Source organism: Homo sapiens, chromosome 6 (assembly GCF_000001405.40).
Source record: "Homo sapiens chromosome 6, GRCh38.p14 Primary Assembly".
NCBI classification, from domain to species: Eukaryota; Metazoa; Chordata; class Mammalia; order Primates; family Hominidae; genus Homo; species Homo sapiens.
Genome location: NC_000006.12, coordinates 16,642,801 through 16,666,877, shown reverse-complemented (window position 1 = coordinate 16,666,877; position 24,077 = coordinate 16,642,801). Strand labels below are relative to the sequence as shown.

Here is a 24,077-nt window from a genome sequence, read left to right as displayed (position 1 = left end):
TTTAGTTAAAAGAAATTTTAACTAGATTCTTAAAGCCTAGATTGGAAGAAAGTGTTTGCTAAAAAAAAAGTCATGGCTGGGTGCAGTGGCTCACACCTGTAATGCCAGCACTTTGGGAGACCGAGGCGAACGGATCACAAAGTCAGGAGAGCAAGACCATCCTGGCCAACATGGTGAAACTCCGTCTCTACTATAAATGCAAAAAGTAACTGAGTGTGGTGGCATGTGCCAGTAATCCCAGCTACTCGGGAGGCTGAGGCAGGAGAATCACTGGAACCAGGGAGTCAGAGGTTGCAGTGAGCTGAGATCACAGTACTACACTCCAGCCTGGTGACACAGCTAGACTCCAAAAAAAAAGAAAGAAAGAAAAGAAAAGTCATGTATATATCCAGAAGAAAGGAAATCAGTATATTGAAGAGATACCTGCACTCCCATGTTTGTTGCAGCTATTCATTATAGCCAAGATATGGAATCAATCTAAGTCTCCATCAATGAAGGAATGGATAAAGAAAATAAGGTACATATACACAGTGGAATATTATTCAGCCATACAAAAGAATGAAATTCTGTCATTTGTAACAACATGGCTGGAACTGGAAGACGTTATGTTAAGTAAAATAAGCCAGGCACAGAAAGACAAATATCACATATTCTCACTCATATGAGGGAGCTAAGAAACATGACGTCATGGAGACAGAGAGTAGAATGATGGTTAGCAGAGGATGGAAAGGGTAGTGAGGAGGGAGGAATAAAGAGAGGTTGGTTAGTGGCTATAAAAATATAGTTAGATAGTAGGAATAAGAGCTAGTGTTCAGTAGCACAATAGGGCAACAATAGTTAACAATAACTTATTGTATATTTCAAAATAACTAGAGGAATGAATTTGGAATGTCCCTAACAAAAAGAAATGAAGTGATGGGTATCCCAAATACCTTGATTTGACCATTACACATTGTGTGCTTGTATCAAAAAATCACATGTACCCAATAAATATGCACAACGATCATGTACCCATAAAAATAAAACAAAATTAAAAATGCACACTTCTCACAGTTTCTTGCCTAGTAGAATCCAAGTAAATACAGTTTTCCGCCCACAGATAACTCTTCCCTCTGGTGCCCTCATGGTTTATCTCATGTTCTTGACCACATGGGTTAATGGTCTTTGTTAGGTTGTACTCAGTGATCCCCAAGAGGACAAATGGTGGGAATTATGGAAATTGAGGCCAGAAGGAAACCTAGAGTTCTGTGCTTTTACTTCCAGTAGGGATCTGTGGGGTTTAGAATGTCTGCCTGGTCAGCAGTTCTCACTTTGGGAACCCCCCCACCCCCACCCAAGACCTTTTCTGGAGGGACATCTGTAAGATCAAGATTATTTTTATGGTAATACTAAGACATTATTTACCTATTCCATTCCCATTCTCTTCCATGTGTACAGCGGAGTTTTTCAGAGGCTATATGATGTGTGATGATATTGTGTAATGAAATGTGTCAACTTTTGGAAGATTTGCATAATTCACTGAACTAATATAATTTTCCAAATGACCAGGGTATGATGTTACAAAATCATGCATAGCTAAAGATCCATCCAAAGTTCAAGATAGACTAATGAATTTTAATATAAAAGAATACTTAGAGTTTATTTCTATGCTTCAGATTCCATGGTGCTGCTCCCCTTTAAGAAACTACCACTTATTGAGTTTTGGTATGATATAAAAAAAGAATATCCACAATTGCTGAAACTATTGGCCACATCTTCTCCACATACTTCAACCAAACAACATATCACAGAAAACTGAATTCAGAGGCACAGAAGAGAATTTAACCATTTTCCATTAAGCCAGGCATTAAAGAGAGCTGCAAAAATCTAAATGGATCTCACTCTTGTCACTAACTTTTTTGTTCTGAAAAATATAATTATTTTTTCATAAAGATGTTATTTCATGTAGTATGCAATGGGTATATTAGTATTTCTATTAAATGAACTAATGAATATTTTACATTTTTCTCAATTTTGCTTCTAATATGGTATAATAGTTGTTAAATATGATCTACCTAATGAAAAGTTCCTTGGGGTCCTCAATAAATTTTAGGAGTATAGAGGAAACTTTATACTCTTAAAATTTATTGAGGACCCAAGGAGCTTTTAAGTGTGAGGACCAAAAGTGTGAGGACCACTGGCCTAGTCTGGTCAGTGTCTACACCCTGTGTCCACTGGTTTCACCTTTCTTCTGGAAAAAGTGTTCTGTGGTAAAATATATTTTGGGCCTAGATGAGTGCTTTCTCCCCTCATAGATTTACAATACACATGAACATATGAGACCCTCCAAAGTCTTTCCCAAATTTATCCCAACCTTTAAAAACAAATTATCCCAACCTTTTTTTATCCTCCTTTTAATTTTGGCACAACATAATGTTCCACAATGGAATATAACATCCTATGGAACGTACCGGCTGGTATATGATATGGGCTGCCCTCTTTCCGTTAACAAAAAAATTAAAAGCAAGACATTTTCCTTCAAATCCATACTTTATTTAGAGAGAGGCCTATAAAATTCACTTGCGAATCTGATTGACTTTCTTAAAAAAACATACTCTTCATTCATTGTATTATGCCATTTTGCTTATACTCTTTGAAGCTGTTTCTACTTCTGTTTCCAAATGCATATGTTTTTTTAAAGCTCTGTTTTAGACATTTTTGTGTGTTAATTAGTAGCATCTGCTCCATGTGTCATAAGACAAAGTAATTTCATCCCCACAAAATTGTCCAAATTGCAGGTTAAGTGGTAGCAGCCTAGCTGTTGAGCTGTTACTACTGTTTGGTATTTTTAAATGGCAAAAAATACCTTCGGTGATGCATCACATGCCTTTAATAAAACACAGTCACTTTGGGTAACAGAAAGATTTAGAAATGGCAGTGGGTTTTGTTGTATTTCTTTTTATGATTCTTTCTTTCCAGTGCTTTAGTTTCCATTGGTTGTGGGTACAATCCTAAGAGTCAGACCAAAATAAAGAATATTCCATCAGTATGGATCAAAAACATGTTCCTGGCCGGACATGATGGGTCACACCTGTAATCCCAGCTACTTGGGAGGCTGAGCTGGGAGGACTGCTTGAGTTGAGGAGTTCGAGGTTGCCGTGAGCTATGATCACACCACTACACTCCAGCCTAAGTGACAGAGCAAGACCCTGTCTCTAAATAAATAAATAAATAAATAAATAAATAAATAAAAAATTAAAAAACATGCTCCTGGCTGCTGCGTGATGAGCATCATCTTCCTAAGACATGAGACTGATACTTGCACCACCCAGCACCAGTTTCTTCCCGGCACAGTGCCATTCTAAATTTGTATTGAGGCAGGAGTGCAGCGAGAATTTCTTTCTCCTTCTGTATTTCACATGTCTATGCCACAGAAAGAATAGAAACATCTTAATTTGTTATAATAATTATAGGGACAATAGTCACTGTATTTTATATAATTCAAAAGTTCTTTTTAAAAAATTTTTTGGTCTTGCCGGTTCCTACTGAAACACTTCGTACAGTTTGAATCCTTAGTGACTTTCTATTGCCAACTGAAAATTGATTTTTTCCTATATTAAAAAAAAATCCAGCCGGGCACGGTGGCTCCTGCCTGTAATCCTAGCACTTCGGGAGGCCGAGGTGGGTGGATCACCTGAGGTCAGGAGTTAGAGACCAGCCTGACCAACATGGTGAAACCCCGTCTCTACTAAAGATTAATTAGCCAGGCATGGTGGTGGACGCCTGTAATCCCAGCTGCTTGGGAGGCTGAGGCAGGAGAATCGCTTGAACCCGGGAGGCAGAGGTTGCAGCGAGCCGACATTGCACCATTGCACTACAGCCTGGGCAACAAGAGCAAAACTCCATTTCAAAAAAAAAAAAAAAAAAAATCCAAACAGAAAATACTGTGGCTATCTTATTCAGTATCTTGTTCTTTTCCTTACCACTGAGTAGTTTCAGGGAAAACCCTTTACAATTGCAAAAAGACATTCAGTTTATAGGACTATTTATTACAGCGTTGGCAAATGGTGCTGGAAATTCTCTAATAGTTAAATGACGCAAATTAACCAGACTGAAATGGAAGAACCATACTGAGGTTGCTCTTCAAACAGCAAGAGGCTACCTTTCTGTTTTCTTTGACAACTGAATATAGCTTATGATATAGTTAAGGTATCAAAGATGCAAGAATTGTAGAGCTATGTGGCAGGTTAAGAAGCCTGATGAATGGCCGGGTGCAGTGGCCCACGCCTGTAATCCCAGCACTTTGGGAGGCCGAGACCAGCAGATCACCTGAGGTCAAGAGTTCAAGACCAGCCTGGCCAACATGGTGAAATCCTGTCTCTACTAAAAATACAAAAAATTAGCTGGGCGTGGTGGCGTGTGCCTGTAATCCCAGCTACTTGGGAGGCTGAGGCAGGAGAATTGCTTGAACCTGAGAGGCAGAGGTTGCAGTGAGCTGAGACCACACCATTGTACTCCAGCCTGGGCAACAAGAGCAAAACTCTATTTCAAAAAAAAAAAAAAGAAGTTTGATGAAGATGCAGATGCTTCATTGCTTGTGCAAATTGTGTGATTTTAGCATATTCTACAGTGGAAAGTCAAATTTCAGGCATGCACACCTAAAGTAGGAAAAATGGTTCTTAAAGGGGTAGTGTGATGCAGGGATTAAGAACCTGGTTTCTGGAGTCAGATGGCCTGAGTTTGAGTCCCACCTCTACCATGTATGTGTGCTGTTGAACAGGTGATTTAACTTCTTTGGGGCTCAGTTTCTCCCACTGTAAAAAGTCATGTAAAGTTCCCAGAAGAGTGTTTCATACATTGTAACTGTAGTAGTTATCTACTGCTGTGTAAGTAATTACTCCAAATCTTAGTGGCTTAAAACAACAAGTGTTTATTATCTCTCAGTTTTTCTAAGTGTGAATCACTGCATATCATAGCTGGGTGTCTCTAGCTCCAAGTCTTTCATGAGGTTGTAGTCAAGTTGTTAACCTGGGCTGACGTTTCATCTGAAGGATAGGGTGGGGGCGGTAGGGATCTGCTTCCAAATCCACTCACATAGATGCTAGCAGGCCTCAGTGATATGCCATGTGGGCCCTTCCACAGGACTGCATCACAGCCTGGCAGTCAGCCTCCCCCAGGTGAGTAACCCAGAAGAGGATGCAAGATCCCAAGATGGAAGCCACCATCTTCATGTAACCCAGTCTTGGAAATGATCTCCCATTACCTTTGCCACAGTCTGTTTGCTAGAATTGAGTCACTAAATCCAGTCCACACTCAAGAAGGCTTTACAAGGGCATGAATTCCAAGAGGTGGGATCACTGGAAGCCATCCTGCAGGCTGCTTATAACAGTAACTTGTGCTTTAATTTATATCCCCTTATGGTCTATTCCTGACAATCAGACCAAATGAGCCCTTAAAATGTAAGGCAGATCATGATACTACTGCATTAAAAATTATCTCTGGTCTTCCCATTTTACTTAAAAGTCGGTATCTTTACAATGGCCTACAAGGCCTTTCATGCTTATAAAATTATTTTTCTATATTTTGTAAAATAATATATATGTATAATAAATGCTATATATGTATATTTGTATAAACACATGTTTATATGTTTAGTTATATATCTAGAATTTATTTTCCATATGGTGTAAGATAGCAATCTCTTTCGAAACGAAGAGCCAGGTTTCCCAGCACTATTTATTGATTACAATACCCTTTTCCTGGGCCAGGTGCGGTGGCTCACATCTGTAATCCCAGCACTTTGGGAGGTCAAAGCGGGTGAATCACGAGGTCAGGAGTTCAAGACCAGCCTGGCCAACATGGTGAAATCCCGTCTCCACTAAAAATACAAAAATTAGCTGGGTGTGGTGGTGGGCACCTATGATCCTAGCTACTTGGGAGCCTGAGGCAGGAGAATTGCTTGAAACCAGAAGGCAGAGGTTGCAGTGAGCTGAGATCACTCCACTGCACTCCAGCCTGGGTGAAAGAGCAAAACTCTGTCTCAAAAAAAAAAAAAAAAAAAAAAAACCAAAACAAAATAAACCTCTTTTTTCCCTGAGTTGATATTCTACTGAGAACCTGTTTGTCTCTTATTATGCAATCTGTGTCTAATTGTTGCATTTTTGAATAAAGATATACTTAGTGGGTCTAGTAAATCATATAAGATAGTTGTGTTTGTTATGATTTTATTTGATTTGAAACATTCAAATACATGTAAAAACAAATTATAATTGAGAATTAATTATGGCAAACATTTAATAAGTTCCTTTATTTGATAGATTAGGAACTAATTTTATTTAAAAGGCCGTGACTTACATTTAAAAGTCCAATTAGCTACAACATTAAGACTAAAAAGTATATTTCATGACTCCCAGGTCACTGTTTATAGGTTGTTGATATCCCATACTTTGCTGCTGCTGCTGTTGCTTATAACTGTTCAGAAAATTTTCACCAAAATGTCTATCAAATTGGAAAACCCTCTGGAGTGAGATCCTTTTTAAAATATAGCCAACTTTCACATATGCAGGCATATCTGTGAATGCCCTAGGCCCCTGTGCTTTCTCTTCTGCTTTTTGGGCTTTTGGCCTTATCTTTGCTTATGATAACTTCAAATGGTAAACAAGAAGGGATAGGTGACAGAGATTAAACCCAAGCCAGTTTGTTTTGTTGATTATTATTAACGGTATTGATAAAGAGTTTGCTGAAAGAGGGAAGCATATTGAAATTATTGCTTAAAAAGAAGTGTGTAGAATTTTCAGTTGTTTTCTTTTGATAAGAGTTGCCTCATAGCTGTTGTAGTATGTGCAAATGAAGGTCAGCGATAAATCACAGAATGAATCACTTCCAACTCCTTCACATCTACAGATATAAGTAAGAATGGAAAATATTGTCACTTAGATGAGTCCTTATTTTTTTTTTCTGTATGAATAGTATAAACCTTACTTTTCTGGACACCTAGCTTTGGCAGCTGGTGAAGGTTGTTAAAGTAACAAATGGGACCATTCTGCCTCTCCCAGATCGATTTTGCTGCAAGATAGTTGAAAATAATATAATCCAGAAATGAATTTATTTTCTTATGGCAAAAACAAAACAGAAAGAGAGTACTATGAGGAAGTATCATGCTACTGGTAAATTTTTCAAACTAAAACCGCATTACATTTCATTAAATGAGTTTATGTCCATTAAGCGTCAATGAGCATGAGTGGTTGAACCCAGAATCCAGTCAAAGTACATATTAACTTTCTGTATGACTTTAAAAAGAGGTATGTCAACCTCCCTGGGTCAGCAGGTTCCTTTGCAGAAGACATTGGAATGAAACGTCAAGGACCTCTTCCAATTATAGAATACCTCGAGATATGAAGTTGGTAACAAATAAGAGAAATGCAGCAAGATATTTTTAGTTAAAAAAGAAAAGATTGATACAAGCCAGTAACTTGCAGTGAACTTGTTTAAATCCTCCTCCTCTCTCCAAATTCTGTTTTTACCAAGCCGGTAAAGTAAAGACAGTTTGTCATGCTTTGAACTTCCTGGCTTATGTTGATTTCTATCAGTATGTTGCCTTACACATTTGAGTGGGAGCTGAGTTACATAAAACTAATAAAATCCTTACAACCCCATTTTCTGTGGGTACTGATAGCATCCAAAAAATAAAAAAGGCTTTTGCCATTTTCAGGCAGTTGTTCCTCCGGCTAGATGGAAAATTGAATGGCATTATCTCAACTCACATGTTTAAACATTAACGGAGAGACACTTTCTCCTCCTCAAAAGTTTTTAGTGTTCCCAGGAATTTAACCACAGATAGACACAACTCCTCAAACGTCCCGAAAAAAAGGTTGACTATTCCATAAAGTAATAGTTACAGAAGGCTTTCAAGGAATTAGTTATTCACACAGTAAGCTTCTGAGGCATACGAGCATATCCTCTTTCTTACAACTTGGTCACTTGATCCAATCTTTGATGATCACCGTGGGACCTTTGGAGATTTATGGAGTTTAGGGTTACAAGTATGATGTGGCCACCATACTCAGGGAACTGGATGACAGTCAGCCGATGGGTTTTCAACATAGATGAGGATGAGCTCATAAAAGGCTAAAAAAGGAGGCAGACACCTTTGGAAGACTGTTTCTAGGCTCTCAAATGGCCATTGTCAAAAAACAAACAGTGGGGTGGATTTGACTAAGCATCAGAAGATGCTTTAACAACAGCCTGTGACAAGTGAGCGTTAAAAGCTCACAAGGCAGAAAGGAACTTTTCAGAGTGACCTTGTCAGACGAGGTTCTAATGTGTAGGCTTTATCAGCTGCTCTGAGTGGGGGTAAAGAGGCATGCATATTTTAAACATTCATTTCATATTCAGTGTGTAAAGTAACTACTGCTTTTCAGCTTGGGTGGAGAAAGTATTTATCAAGAATCACACAAGGGAAACCCATGCATTACCTACTTATAGGGCAAAATGGAAAATGTTCTCTCTCTTATGCTTTATCTTTTTTGTTCCATCTTAATAGCTCTTTATTTAAAAAGTATTCACATCAGTTGATTAGTCTGAGTCTTTCATTTGAAGCAAACTTTCTTCACTTTCTGCCCTTGATACTGCACATCAGTCTTTAATCACTTAGACGTACTGAATTTTTCTTTATTCACATCTTTCAATCGGTAAACTTGAAATTTTGCAAGTGCATTCCCACTGGTGTACATTCTGATTTTCAAGACCTGCTACCTCCCCCAGTGTCATGCTTGTTTTTTTTTTCTTTCTTTCTTCCTTCCCACACCCCACCTCCAGTATTTTAGGGCACCTTATGTAGATAAGCAGTGAGATGGCTTCATCCTGATAATTAACATGCTTGTTTGAGGTTATGAAATATACATTTGAGAAAGGCCAGGGATTTCCCCCTGAATATCCACTAACTGCTTGAAGTGGCATTTTCATTCTGACTTGGTATTTTGTTTTGTTTGACTGCAGCATACTGGAGCATAGTGAAAGAGTCTATTTTGAAGCTTCAAACTTAGTGCTGCTGCAGACCAGGAACAAGAGAGAAAGAGTGGATTTCAGCCTGCACGGATGGTCTTGAAACACAAATGGTTTTTGGTAAGTCATCCAAAAGACTTGACATCTTTTAGCTTTAAATGTCATCGGGCATCACTTCACTGGTGTACCAGAACTTCTTCTTCAAGCGTATTGCTATTTCTCTACATCCTAAATAACAGGACATTTGAAAAAATGTTGTCCTAGTGACAGAGCACTGAGAGAGCAACCGCATTTACTTTATGTGTTTGTTTCTGAAACTTGCAGAATAGTATGATCTGAATAGAATGTATTTGTGGTTAGAAAAAAGAACAAAAGCAAAAACAAAGCAAACCCAAACAACTAAACACACAAACAGCAAATAAACTACATCTACCAGATACTCCATTTTAGCTGAAAACATAAGGGATTAATCGCACGAGAGGAAGTAGATTCAATTTAATGGCAAGTTTTTTGCGTCTTGTGATCAAATACAGTCATGTGCCACATAATGAAGTTTCAGTCAACGACAGATCACACGTATTACAGTGGTCCCATAAGATTATAATACTGGGCTGGGTGTGGTGGCTCACGCCTGTAATCCCAGCACTTTGGGAGGCCGAGGCGCGCGGATCACGAGGTCAGGAGATTGAGATCATCCTGGCTAACGCGGTGAAACCCTGTCTCTACTAAGAATACAAAAAAAAAATTAGCCGGGTGTAGTGGCGGGCGCTTGTAGTCCCAGCTACTTGGGAGGCTGAGGCAGCAGAATGGCGTGAACCTGGGAGGCAGAGCTTGCAGTGAGCCGAGATTGCACCACTGCACTCCAGCCTGGGCGACAGAGCGAGACTCCATCTCAAAAAAAAAAAAAAAAAAAAGATTATAATACTGTATTTTGGTTGTACCTTTTCTATGTTTAGATGTGTTTAGAGGCACAAATGCCTACCATTGTGTTACAGTTGCCTACAGTATTCACTACAGTAGCATGCCGTCCAGGTTTGTAGCCTAGGAGCAATAAGCTATACCGTATAGCGCAGGCGTGTAGTAGGGTGTACCATCCAGGCCTGTGAAAGTACTCTGTGATGTTGCACAGTGACAAAGTCACCTAACAATGCATTTCTCAGAGCATATCCCTGTCATTAAATGATGCATGACTATTGTGATGGGCAAGGTGAAAGATGATGGGGGTTTCCAAGTCCTGTTCAGCAAACATTTACTGAGTAACTTTTAAGTATACATGGGCCCTTGAATGACAGTCTTAGTCTGGGGGTTGGAATTCAAACACTCTAAACTATAAATAAATGATAAAACCATTCCAGAGCATACACCAACATAATGTGGACTTCCAGGAATTTTTTTTTTATCAACCCCGTTCATGATATTACCTGGAAGCAGAGTCCTCAAATTGAAGCCTAGGTCTGCCCCACCTATCTTGGTCACCTTGGAGAACTTGCTCATCATCTTGGAACGACTTGCCTTTAAAGATGTATGTGCCTAACTGATCTCCAAGGTCTCCTGCAAATTTATAATTCAGTTCCCTCTAGTGCAATGAATTAAATAATTATCCACTTCAGTTCTTGCCCAACAGAATTTCTGTGTAGGCTTGGTGGTCATTTGCAGAGGGGCTCATTGTATCAACCAGTGTGGAGGAAAGGAGCCAGGTCCTCGGGGGGTCCCTCCTGGCCCCATTTGCCCATTTGACAGCCAGCCCTTTGGTCAAACAGGACTGTCAGCATCTGCAGTAAATAATTTTTTTGTTTTTTTTTTTTTTGAGATGGAGTCTTGCTCTGTCACCAGGCTGGAGTGCAGTGGCACAGTCTCAGTTCACTGCAACCTCCACCTCCCAGGTTCAAGCGATTCTCCTGCCTCAACCTCCCGAGTAGCTGGGACTACAGATGCGTGCCACCATGCCCAGCTAATTTTTGTATTTTTAGTAGAGCTGGGGTTTCACCATGTTAGCCAGGATGGTCTCGATCTCCTCACCTCAGGTGATCCGCCTGCCTCAGCCTCCCAAAGTGCTGGGATTACAGATGTGAACCACTGCACCCGGCCCGCAGTAAATAATTTATTCCCTTGCAACATTAAAAAAAAATGTGGCACAGTGCTTTATGAATATTATATTCATTTTTATGTATTTAATTTTAATTTATTTATTTATTTATTTATTTGAGACGGGGTTTCTTTCTCTTTGTTGCCCAGGCTGGACTGCAGTGGTGCAATCGTAGCTTGTGCTGGGACCATATGAGACTGGGACTATCCTGGCTGTCATTCATAAAGTCTTCACTGAATTTTTAGGACTTCGCTGACTGGTCTCTCTTTATGAACTTCTGTCACATTTAGGGCCTGCATCATATAAAATGCACTGCTATGTGTTGTTCTGTTAGTGTTTGTCATCACGCCATCAGGGGTACACACAGCTTCAGGGCAGGAATCATCATCACAGACCAGTAGCCGAGACTACAGGCACGCGCCACCATGCCTGGCTAATTTTTCCATTTTTTTGTAGATACGAGGTCTCGCTATGTTGTCCAGACTGGTCTGGAACTCCTGGGCTCCAGCAATCATCCTGCCTTGGCCTCTCAAAGTGCTGGGATTACAGGCATGCACCACTGTGCCTGGCCTGAATATTATATCCAAATAAGTGAGATAGGCTTCTTTTGAAATACTGTCCTTTGTTTTTCTTTAGGGGATCTGACTTTTTCCTTCTCTGTGCTTGCCGTCATTGTGTTACTGGTTACCGGCCAGCCTGTTAACCCTGTGGATCCCCACACTTTGTTTTACGTTGAATAGCATTTATTATTGTTCTTTCTTACTAAACATCCCCTTTCTGAAGCAGAGCTTCAGAAATGATGCTCAGATGTCACTCTTGTTAGCAGCTGGCTTTCTGCCTTCAAGTGATGCATTATTGGGGTTTCATAACAGCATTTTTTTTTCTCTTACAAATATTAAATTATGAAGTGCAGGAAACCACATGAATGTGGTAGAAAGCAAATGCAAACACAGTGTTATCTGGAAGTGCTAGTTTTGTGATTCTCCTGGTGACAGTATCCTTCCTGTAATCAACATAGGAACCCTCTTTACCTGTTTGCTGGTGGTTTTCTATCCTGTATCTTCCTCTCCATTTATGCTGTATGCCATGGCCACTTTGTCATGCTGAATCGGGAGGTTTGATTAAGACAGTTGCTTGGGGACTATCTCTATCAAAGTTCTGCCTCACCACAAATCCTGGCTGTCACTTACAAAGTCTTCCCTGAATCCTCAGGACTTCACTGACTGGTCTCTCTCTCTCTCTCTTTTTTTTTTTTTTTTTTTTTTTTTAAGGCAGAGTCTTGGGTCTGTTGCTAGGCTGGAGTGCAGTGGCAATCTTGGCTCACTGCAACCTTCGCCTCCCAGGTTCAAGCAATTCTCTTGCCTCAGCCTCCTGAGTAGCTGGGATTACAGGCATGCGCCACCGTGCCCAGCTAATTTTTCTATTTTTAGTAGAAATGGGGTTTCACCATGTTGGCCAGGATGGTCTTGATCTCTTGATCTCATGATCCATCTGCCTTGGCCTTCCAAAGTGCTGAGATTACAGGTGTAAGCCACTGCGCCCGGCCCTGAGCAGTCTCTCTTTATGAACTTCTATCACATTTAGGGCCTGCTTCTTACAGAATGTACTGCTGTGCATTACTCTGTGAGTGTTTGCCATCAGCACAATTGCACATGGGTTGCACATGGCTTCAAGGCAGGAATCAAATCACAGACCAGTGTTTCCCAAGGGTGGTCTAATCCCAGTACCTCCTGCTTCCGAATCTCTTGGATATGTTTATTAAAGTTGCAGATTCAGCAACACCAGGCTTATGAATCAGAAGTTCTGGGGATGTAGAACCCAGGAAACTCACCTTAGTTAACTTTTGCACACTGAGGTTTGAGAATAACTATCTGAAAATAATTGTGCATCCTCCTCTTTGCCTCCTCTCCCACAGCAAAGGGTCCAGGTCTGAGCCTATGGTAGGTGTCCAGGAAATATTTGCTTGTTGACCTAAGCAACATCAAGCCATGAGGGTTGCATTCCCTCTTCAGTTGCCAAGCTTTTTCAGGATGTGAGGTCAGCATATTCTCTGAACCTTTAGAAACCCACTTTCTTCCAAATACGTAAAGTGTTCCCCTAGGGCAGAGGCTCTTTTGGAAATCTTTTTTTGTCTCTTTATCTTTTGTAATCACTAACTCTGTTGGTGGTAATGACAGGAGCCCCTGACTAAGATTGGGATAGTGGGGACATCAGCTATGAGGAGCTGGGCTGGAGCAGCAGGCTAGGAGAAAGATCTGAGGATAGGAACCGGACTGTGCTAAACTAGAAGCTTTATCCTTGGCTCCCAAAGCCACACCTGCTACCCTTGGCAGTTTATTCTGAGTGGTATTTCTTTCAGCTGTTAGGCCTCGCAGGTTGTCAGTTTTGGTGGCAGAAGAGCGGTCCCGCTGCTGAAAAGGATCAAGTTTAGCTCTAGTGGACGCACATCAAAGCACCTACAGTGCACAGTGGTGGATTCAGGATTTGAATCCAATGTTAGCAGACTGCAGTGGTGACACTTGGCCCTCTCCTTCCGTCCGCCTCTTGTTCCAGCAAGGGCATGCCTGGTCTTGGATGATCCAGGAGAGATTTGCAGGGCGTTGCTGCTTCTGGTGCACCTCCTGAATGCCCTTGCTGGTGGCTCCAGCCCTGGTAGATGGAATCCAAACAGAAGAACTCACAGAAGCTTAGCTAGCCTAGAAAGGAACCAGCGTGGCCATCAGGACATTTATTAGCTGTTAATCTAACCACTACCAAATGCATTAACACATTTTTTTTGACAACTTTTTCTCTTTTATTTGGCTGTTGCTTAGTTCAGTTTTGCTTGGAGAAGTTGTGGCAATCCTGAATTCAGTTTGTGTGAAAAAGCAAGCACCTTCAAGCCCAGTGTTGGAGAAGTATCTTCTCCCAGGTCTCTATTCAGTTTTGACTAAAGGAGGTTTGGCGAGCAGAAAGGTATTACCGAGTGGATTCTTCTCAAATTCTCATCTAAGTGAAGGAAAAAAGCCCAGTTTGCTGAAGCCATGTTAAGGGCACATTAGGCTTTTAATATGTGCTTCATGGAGACCTTACTAGATTTTCCTCTGCGTAGTTCTTTCCATCTGATGGGAGCGAGGGCTGTTTTTGGGTTGCAGAAGGCAAGAGCCAGGTTGTCAGCTACAGAAGAGAAAGGTGCCATTGTCTGCATAATTGACTTTGAGCCTTTGTCTAAAAGGATGTCAGGTGGAGGAGTAATGAGGGGCGAGATTTTTAAAAAATTATAGAGTACAGGATTTTAGCAAAATGCCAGATGTTGGCATTTCTGTTTTGGAGGTCTTTAGTGGTCCATGTAAACTATTTCCTTGCAAGTAACCATCCATGGTAGGAAAACAGAAAAAAATGATTCTAAAAGAGCATTTGTCTAGTTAGAAACTGTGTCACTTGTATCGTTTACCGTGAGGCATCCTTGAGAGGTACATGATTTCCAAACAGCCACCTAAATCATAGGTACTGCTTTTGGAACAGATGTAAATAGGAAAAGCGCCAGTCCAGTACCCCCACTAAAGACCATCGTTAGAAAGCTCTCGCAGTGCTTTCCAGCTTAGAGGAGTGTAGTTCCCTTCAGGTACTTAAGCCAGTGTTCGGTAAAGCAGCACCCAAAATGCCTTTTGTTAAATGTGTTCTAACTCGTTCCTCTTGCTGATGCTATCACAGGCTAATGATTGTCTAAGTCCTTCAGAGAAGCTGTGTGGTTTTGTATAGCTGTGAGTAAAACCACACCCATTCAGGAAATGCAATGTACTTTCTTCTAACAGGCATCATCAAAACAGATGCTGATTTACATGGTAGGTCCCCTTCTTTAGTGACAATTTGAGAGCTTTGAAGGGAGGCATTTGCCGTGCATCAGAAGAAATCAGAATTAAACTGGCACACGTGCACATTGTTGGAGTAAAAAGGAAAAGCAGTGACCTAGAGTTTGTTACCGCACATGCTTTCCCTGAAGGCATCTGCACCATCATGATGTCCTCATCAACTCTGCACACACAACTAGTATTTCTGTCTCTTTCTCTTCAGAGTTTAAGCTCAATGATTTCCAACTTCCTCCCACATGACTCCAGCTGGATATCACATAGGTGTCTTCAATTTGAATCTAAACCTGACTTTGTCATTGTCCTACGTTTATGGGCTCCAGGGTCACTAGCTCACCATTTGTTGATGCTGGACACCTCCTCTTCCTCTGCTTCATCCCTAGCTCATATGCTGGAGTTCTGCCTTTTTTTTTTTTTTGAGACAGAGTCTCTCTCTGTCACCCACGCTGGAGTGCAGTGGCACCATCTCAGCTTACTGCAACCTCTGCTTCCCAGGTTCAAGGGATTCTCCTGCCTCAGCCTCCTGAGTAGCTTGGATTACAGGTGCGCACCACCACACCTGGCTAATTTTTTGTATTTTTGGTAGAGATGGGGTTTCACCATGTTGGTCAGGTTGGTCTCAAACTCCTGACCTCATGATCCGCCTGCCTAAGCCTCCCAAAGTGTTGGGATTACAGGCGTGAGCCACTGCCCCCAGTCTGAGTTTGGCCTCTTTAATATGATAGTTTACCCACTCTTCTCCACTCTCGGGCCCCTGTTCTGTTGCAGACCTTCAGCATCACTTGCCTGGACTGCTGCAGTGGCTTCCAAGAAGCCCCTTGCTTAAAGTCTTTTCTTTCTGTGTTCCATTTATTCTACTCTTTTGAGAATTCTCATATGAAAGAAAGGGTCTGATTGAATTACTCCTACACTTGAAAATCCTTGGTAGTATGTGGAAATATGGAAAAGTACTCATAATCTAATGTGTTAAAAGAAAAACTTTAGACAAATTAAATTTAACAGAGTTTAATTCAGCAAAGAACTATTTGCAAATCAGGCAGCTCCTCTCTACTCCTTTCCTCCCGAACTAGAATAGATTCAGGGCATTTCTGACATGCTGTTGTGTGGTTGGAGAGGATTTATAGACAGAAAAAGGAAAACGACGGACAGAAAACAGAAGTGAGGTACAGAAACAGCCAGATTGGTTTCAGCTCAGCGTTCGCCTTATTTGAACAGGGTTTGAACGATAGGCTGCCTGTGATTCGCCGAAACCCAGAGATTGGTACAAGAATAGGTTACAGCCTGTTTACACATCCAGGTAGGTTACGGTTCACTGCATGCGGAGAAACCTTTAGGCCAAACTTAAAATATGGAAGAAGGCAGCTTTCGGCTAAACCCAACAAATGTTAAGTATAAAATTCATATTTCAAAATTGTGCAAACACATTGATTACAAAGCAGTGACAAAAATCTATGCCTATCCACAAAGGCTAGAAGTAAAGAAAACAAGAATGAAGGTATTTTTAATATTAGGGCAATTCATGTGTGTGTGTGTTTTTTAATACTCCTTTGGTAGCAAATGAATATGGTGAAGTAAAATGAATAATTGAAAGGATTTTGTTAGCTTTCTGCTCCTGATAAGGTAAAATGTGAATTTCACTGCATGGCCTCTAAGGCCCCTAGGAATTCCTTATCAACTTACCATTTAAATCTCATCTCCCGTGACTCCCATCCCTTCCATCTCTCCATATAATATTTGTTTTCTTCTTAAACATACTATGTATATAATAACCATGCACCTGTCCCTGTTGTTTCTTCTCGCATGAGACTCTTGTTCTCTGCCTGGTAAACTCCCACTCATTCGTTGAGGCCTAATTGAAATTCCTGGCCAAGCATGGTGTCTCACATCTGTAATGTCAGCATTTTGAGAGGCTGAGGGAAGAGGATTTCTTGAGCCCAGAAAGTTTAGACTGCACCATTCCACTCCAGCCTGGGCAACAGATAGAGAGCTCGTCTCAAGGAAAAAAAAAAACAAAACAGAAATTATCCTCTTGCTGTGTTACCGCTATTATATTGCAATTTTCTGCTCATATAGCTATCTTGGTAAATGATTCATGAAGACAGAAATTGACTTATCTTAAACCTTGTATTCCAAGTGTTAAGCCCATTCCTGCATATAATACAGTTTAATAAATATTTACAAAGGTAAGAAGAAAGGAAAGAGCCCATTTAGAAATACAGAAATAATCCTTCAGGTAAGATATTAAAAATGTTTTTGGATAAGCTTAGTACTAATTACTATTTCATAAAAATTACAAAAATAGATGTTTTTGGTTAAACAGTTTTTACAGTAATAGTTGGATTCAGCCTCACATCATTTAAACTAAACTACTGGCGTATATCTTTGGCATTAGAAAATTCTAACATCAGATAGAATTGCTTCAGCTTCACTGTAAGCCATATTTATGAAGTTACTAAAAACCATTTTTTTAAACTGTTTTATGTCATGCATAACCATGTCGGCCAAATCAGAAATCCAAATAAATGACACATCCAGTTCTGGCCACATTTTGTGAATATCTGGTATTTTTTTCTTAAGGGAATTTAAAAAGACTGGGTAACATTAAAGGGTTGATGTAACATTTTCAATTCTGAAAGGCTACTCTGCTCTAGGAATATACTTGTTACTATTTTTTTTTTCATTTCTAAGAATTCTGTTTGGCTAAAATACCAAAAGAGAAAAAAATAACTTGGCTTAAATAAAATGAAAAGTCATCTCCAAAATTAATTCGGCTCCTCAAAAGTTCTTTCCAAAGGAAGGAATAGGATGCTATTTAATATTACATGTCAAAAACACCACTAAAAAGAAAATCATCATTTGTACGTGTGACAAGGAATTCAGAATGGAATTTTATGAAGGCTAGTGTGTGAGGCACGCTGCTCACATCTTTTAAAATAATATTTTGATATCGGGGAAGATTATTTAATACTATATATTATTTTATATTATATATGTATGCATATGTGTATATACATATATAAAATAGAGTTTTTTCCTATTAATGCTTTAGAGTCAATAAGTTGTAATGGGGAATTTCAGTTTGAGATTTGTCATTTTTTTTGCATGATAGCCTTGCCCAGCCTTCAGTTTTCTTGTTTATAAAGTCATGCCAAAAGGTGAACTGTCACTGGATTAACTAATTAAGAAATTAGTCAGTCACTAACATTTATTGATTGACCACTGATTGGAAACATTAAATACCCACATCATTTTTTAGCATTTCATGTAAGTTGATCCTTGTCTGTTTTGCAGAGTAAAGAACCTTAGCTGAATTTCATTTTTGTCTGTCCTGATCTTTGCATTCATTTAAAAACCTGACCCTTCAGCTGTTTACAAGATCCATCATGAAATATACCATGGCTAAGGTGAATGTGCAGACTCCCAGTTTCCCTTTAGCTATTCTGTTGCACTAGCCATGGGGTTGCAAACTTTTTTGGTGACTGTTACAGTTCATTCATCAGGAGGTACTGACTATATTTTGTTGCACTTTCATGAGAGCCAGGGCTCAGAAGCATCCTAAGTACCTAGTGACAAAAACTCAGGAAGGCAATTAGACTATGACGCTTTTCATTACAACCTAAGGTGCCTCTCAATATAGTAGGTGCTTATGTTGAACTGCCCTCTGCAGACTGTATGTGTGGGTCCATGTGGTGATATTGTGGCTGTACCCTCTCCAAGGTTGCCTAGTGTTGGCTGTAGCAGGAAAGGAAGTGTCTGTAAGCAATAGTAGCTTCAATGAGGAAGGATATAAAAGAGAAGTGAACTAGTCCTGAAATCTTAAGGATCTACATACAGACCAGAGTACCTTGATGGATCCCAAAGTTTTATTTTATTTTATTTTGTTTTTGAGATGGAGTTTCGTTCTTGTTGCCCAGGCTGGAGTGCAATAGCGCAATTTCGGCTCACTGCAGCCTCCGCCTCCTGGGTTCAAGAGATCTTCTGCCTCAGCCTCCCAAGTAGCTGGGATTACAGGCACCTGCCACTACACCCAGATAATTTTTGTATTTTTAGTAGAGAGGGGGTCTCACCGTATTGGCCAGGATGGCCTCAAACTCCTGACCTCAGATGATCCACCCGTCTCAGCCTCCCAAAGTGCTGGGATTACAGGCGTGAGCCACTGCGCCCGGCCTTATTTTATTTTTCCAGCATTATTGAGTTATGATTGACAAAATTTGTGTACAACACGATGCTTTGATATACATATATATTGTGAAATGTTTATTATCATCAAGTTAGTTAACACTTTCATCACCTCACATAGTTATTTTTTCTTGCATGGTGAGAACATTTAAGATTTACTGTCTCAGCAAATTTCAAGTGTACAAATATCATTATTAACCATAGTCACTGTGCTGTATATTCAATCCCCAGATCTCAAAGATTTAAAATCTAGCCCTGAGACAACTGATTACAGCCACCATATGTTTTCTTAGGTAGTTCACAATAAATAGTTATAATGCTGCTGAGAAACAGTATGATGTGTTGAAAAGTGTAGGTTCTTGAGGCAAACTTCCTGGGTTTGAATACCGAACTTCCACTTAATGGCTGTGTAATGTTGAGCAAGTGACTTAATCTCTTTGGGTCTCAGTTTATCAATCCATGAAATAAGAAAAATAAAACAGGCCAGGCACGGTGGCTCACGCCTGTAATCCCAGCACTTTGGGAGGCCATGGTGGGTGGATCACAAGGTCAGGGGTTAAGACCACCCTGGCCAATATGGTGAAACCCCATCTCTACTAAAAATATAAAAATTAGCCGGGCGTGGTGGCAGGTGCCTGTAGTCCCAGCTACTTGGGCGTCTGAGACAGGAGAATTGCTTGAACCTGGGAGGTGGAGGTTGCAGTGAGCCGAGATGGTGCCACTGCATTCCAGCCTGGGTGACAGAGCGAGACTTCTTCTCAAAAAAAACAAAACAAACAAACAAACAAACAAAAAAACCTAAATGAGTCTTGATGCACGTAAAGCTTTCAAAAAATGGTAGCTGTTATTATCATACCACTTTCATGGAATTTCGTTAGTTACTCAGTTTGTGGTAAAATTTTTCCAGTGTTTATTCTTCATGCCTTCCTACAAACTTGGTTTAGGAATTTACACTGTTAGGGGAAACATGTAGGTGAACCCAGCTAGGGAAGGCGAAGCAATGCTGTGGGAACACAAAGGAGTGGGATATTTAGTCTGATTTGGGAGTGGTGAGGACTTGGAGGAAGCATCAGAGCTGACTTGGAAGAATGGCTAGGATTCCACCTGACAGAGCTGGGAGCAAGGCATTCCACACGGGAGGGCGTGTGCCCAAAGGTGTGGAGAAGGGAGAGTGCAGAGCAGAGCATATTTGAGGAAAGCTGTGGACCAGTTTGAGCCCAGGGTTAAGGTGTGTGAGGTGGAACAGTGGGAGACTGGGAGGAAGATAGTCTGATTTAATGATAATGATGATAACGGTGAGTGTGAACTATTCACTGAGTGGTGCCATATATCAGATTCTGTGGTTGGGGCTTTACATAAATTAGCTCTGATTACAACTCCCTTCAACATAGCTATCCACATTTTACAGATGAGAAAATGGGATTAATTCCATTTTTTCTTAAGTGGCGGAGAGCCACTGAAGGTTGTTGAATAGGAGAGGGTCATGATCACTCTTAGCAGGAATTTACTTATCTGCTTTTTCACTTCCCTGGAGTGGTAGACACGTCTTTTGTTTTGTTTAAGAGACAGAGTCTTGCTCTGTCACCCAGGCTGAGTACAGTGGTATCATCATAGCTCACTGCATCCTTGACCTCCTGAGCCCAGGTGATCCTCCCACCCCAACTTCCCAGAGCTCTGGAATTAGAGGCATGTGCCACCACACCTGGCTCATTTTTAATTTTTTTTTTGTAGAGATGGATTCTTGCTATGTTACCCAGGCTGTTCTGGAGCCCTGTGTTCCAGCAATTCTCCTGCTTTGGCCTCTCAGAGTGCTGGGATTATGGGCATGTGCCACCACACATAGCCTTGGAGATACATCTTGCACCATCCTGGGCTCCCCAGAGGAGTGGTATTAGACTGTCAGTATGGTGAATACTCCATAAATACTGGTGGAGTCTGTTTTCAAAGCTTCCTTAACAAAACTCTGGAAACATGTTTTGTACAATTTCCTTTTTAAAGAAGAAATAAACTGGTTAAGTTACTGAGCAACTCCTTTTTGCCTGTGCATGTTTCATCTCATTTGATCCCCATAGGAAATCTTAAAGGTAGAGAGTGTAATTTTTGCATTTCAATTATATGTTATTAATATTATAATGGATGAGGTCACTGGGACTGAAGAAAGTAATGCTGCTTGGAGATGGTAAAGCTGGGATTCAATCTGTGGCTCCCTCACCCTTGGTCTGTAGTCGGCCACCACCCCTCCCTCTATTGAACCTCTCTTTTATTGCTGTTTTCCAGTCTCCACTAAGTATTTCTTCCACTGGTTTAAGTCCACGTTGCTAAGCAAGTACACAGTTGCTTTTAAGGAAACGAAAGCCCCACAAGGACCCAGTCTACTTTGCAGAGGTTAAATGGAAATAGATTATTTTCAATAATCTGTCCTCAGGACCAGAATTCTTCTAAATGATGCTGCTGGCAGCTGGCCATCTCTGGGAGCCCATCAGACAAACCACTTGTAGGAGCCCAGCATCCTGCATTGGGTCAGAATGCAAAGTCAACTAACTCTTCACAGTAGATGCAGTTTGGGCGTGAGTACCTAGCAGGAACCCTAGATATTTGGGGCAAGCACTTTGCTTCTTCCATCTGGTGGAACCCACGTTTATTATCTAAAAGACACATGGCAACAGGCAATGCAGTGTTTGCTTCCAAAGACAGCCTGGAATTTGGAATGACATTTAGTGAAAGGGGAAAGTTCAATTTCAGCTATCAAAGGTCATGGCCAGTGAACCTACAAGCACATATTATGTAAATTTGGCCCAAATCTGTATTTATTAGCTTGAACAGTTTTGGAGTGGTTATCTGCTCTACAAAAATGATCTACCGTTAAGAGTCTCAAAAATATCAAGTCTGCTTGATGCATTTAAATCAGGAAGCGTAAATATTTGGCATCCATGCTAGTGCTGATTTTCAGAGGCTTTGCTCACCTGCAGCTGTGCTCACTTTGCGAAAATGGACATGGTGACCTCTACTTTCCTGGTGAGTGGCCACGTCAGTATCATCCCTTCCCGTTCCTGGCACCACTCTCACCCACTTTGGAGAGCCAGCATAGAGCAGCACGCTGTGTCTCAGGGACCAGGCTATCCATCAGATACCCTACTCTGAAAGTGTCCTTAATTTGATTTTTAAAATATATATAAATATATAGTGTGTGTGTATACACACACACACACACACACACACCATAAAATTTACCATAAATTTACCATTTTAACCTTTTTTTTTTTTTTTTTGAAACGGAGTCTTGCTCTGTCGCCAGGCTGGAGTGCAGTGGCATGATCTCAGCTCACTGCAGCCTCCGCCTCCTGGGTTCAAGCAATTCTCCTGCCTCGGCCTCCCGAGTAGCTGGGACTACAGGCGCATGCCGCCACGCCCAGGGAATTTTTGTATTTTTAGTAGAGATGGGGTTTCACCATGTTGGCCAGGATGGTCTCGATCTCTTGACCTCGTGATCTGCCCGCCTCAGCCTCCCAAAGTGCTGGGGCGTGAGCCACCACACCTGGCCCAGTTTAACCATTTTTAAGTGTACAATTCAGTGGCATTATGTACATTTCCAGTGTAGTGCAATCATCTCCACTATCCATTTCCAGAACTTTTTCATCATCCCGAACAGAAGCTCTGCATTCATTAGACAATAACACTCCATTCTCTCCTCCCAGCCCCTGGTAACCTCTATTGTACACTGTGTCTCTATGAAGTTTCTTATTTTAGGGACCACATGGAATCATACAATATTTGTCCTTTTATGTCTGGCCCATAATTTAATTTTTAATAACAGTGTTTCAAATATACTGTTCTTTTCCAAAGTATTTGTTATCAATACTTTATTATGTCAGTAATTATCAATAAGTTCTCATTCTAATTTCAGAAACTGGGTTGTATTGGAATATGGGCATAGAGAAGATACAGATTTTTTTTTCTTCTTAATAACTGAAGAGAATAACATTTATCAAACAAACGATCGAACTCTTTCTGAGACATAGTTTCATGTGCCTCTTTGGAGTTGATTTCCCCTCACTTTATTTTAACTCCTATTTGGCCCGAATTCTTCTCAGAATTTCTGCAAGCAGGCTCATAGTCCTGCGTTCTTCTCTTCTCTTTTTTTTTTTTTTTTTTTTTGGCAGGGTCTCACTCTTGTCTCCCAGGCTGGAGTGCAGTGGTGCAATCTCAGCTCACTGCAGCCTCGACCTCCGGGCCTCAAGTGATCTTCCTGCCTCAGCCTCCCAAGTAGCTGAGATTACATGTGTGCACGACAACACCTGGCTAATTTTTGTATTTTTTGTAGAGACGAGGTTTCATCATGTTGCCCAGGCTTGTCTTAAACTCCTGGGCTCAAGCAGTCTACCCGTCTTGGCCTCTCAAAGTGCTGGAATTACAGGCGTGAGCCACCGCAGCTGGCCAGGCTTACATTTCTGTAGTGCCTGTTAGGAAGAGTTCAGAATTTTTTAGACACAGGCATAGCTCAGAGATATTGTGTCTTTTTTTTTTTTTTTTGAGTTGGGAGTCTTGCTTTGTTGCCAGGCTGGAGTGCAGTGGCACGATCTCTGCTCACTGCAAGCTCCGCCTCCTGGGTTCAAGCCTCCCAAGTAGCTGGGACTATAGGTGCCTGCCACCATGCCCAGCTAATTTTTGTATTTTTAGTAGAGATGGGGTTTCACCATATTGGTGAGGCTGGTCTCGAACTCCTGACCCCAGGTGATCCACCCACCTCAGCCTCCCAAAGTGCTGGGATTACAGGCATGAGCCACTGTGCCTGGACACTCAGAGATATTTTGGGTTCACTTATAGACCACAGCAGTAAAGCAAGTATTGCAATACAGCAAATCACACAAATTTTTTGGTTTTCCAGTGCATATAAGTTATGTTTACACCATACTATAGTCTATTAATTATCCAATAACATTTTGTCTAAACAAAAGTACATACCTTAATTTTAAAATGCTTTA

General features: G+C 40.8%; 1 protein-coding gene across 3 annotated transcripts in view, besides 1 other annotated feature; it reads left to right on the top strand.

Moving 5' to 3' along the window:
- Positions 1–24,077, top strand: part of ATXN1 (ataxin 1) — a 462,349-nt gene that overhangs the window by 94,583 nt on the left and 343,689 nt on the right. For all 3 annotated transcript variants that reach the window (NM_001128164.2, NM_001357857.2, NM_000332.4), the window contains one exon: positions 8,977–9,102. The gene's annotated coding sequence lies outside the window, so the exon portion shown is untranslated. The remainder of the gene's footprint in view (positions 1–8,976; positions 9,103–24,077) is intronic.
- Positions 11,792–11,881: an enhancer, noted in NCBI's record as "active region_24113". NCBI's record gives its function as "activates an Ori minimal core promoter by ATAC-STARR-seq in GM12878 lymphoblastoid cells {active_cell/tissue: GM12878}" and the evidence as "EXISTENCE:reporter gene assay evidence [ECO:0000049][PMID:35858748]".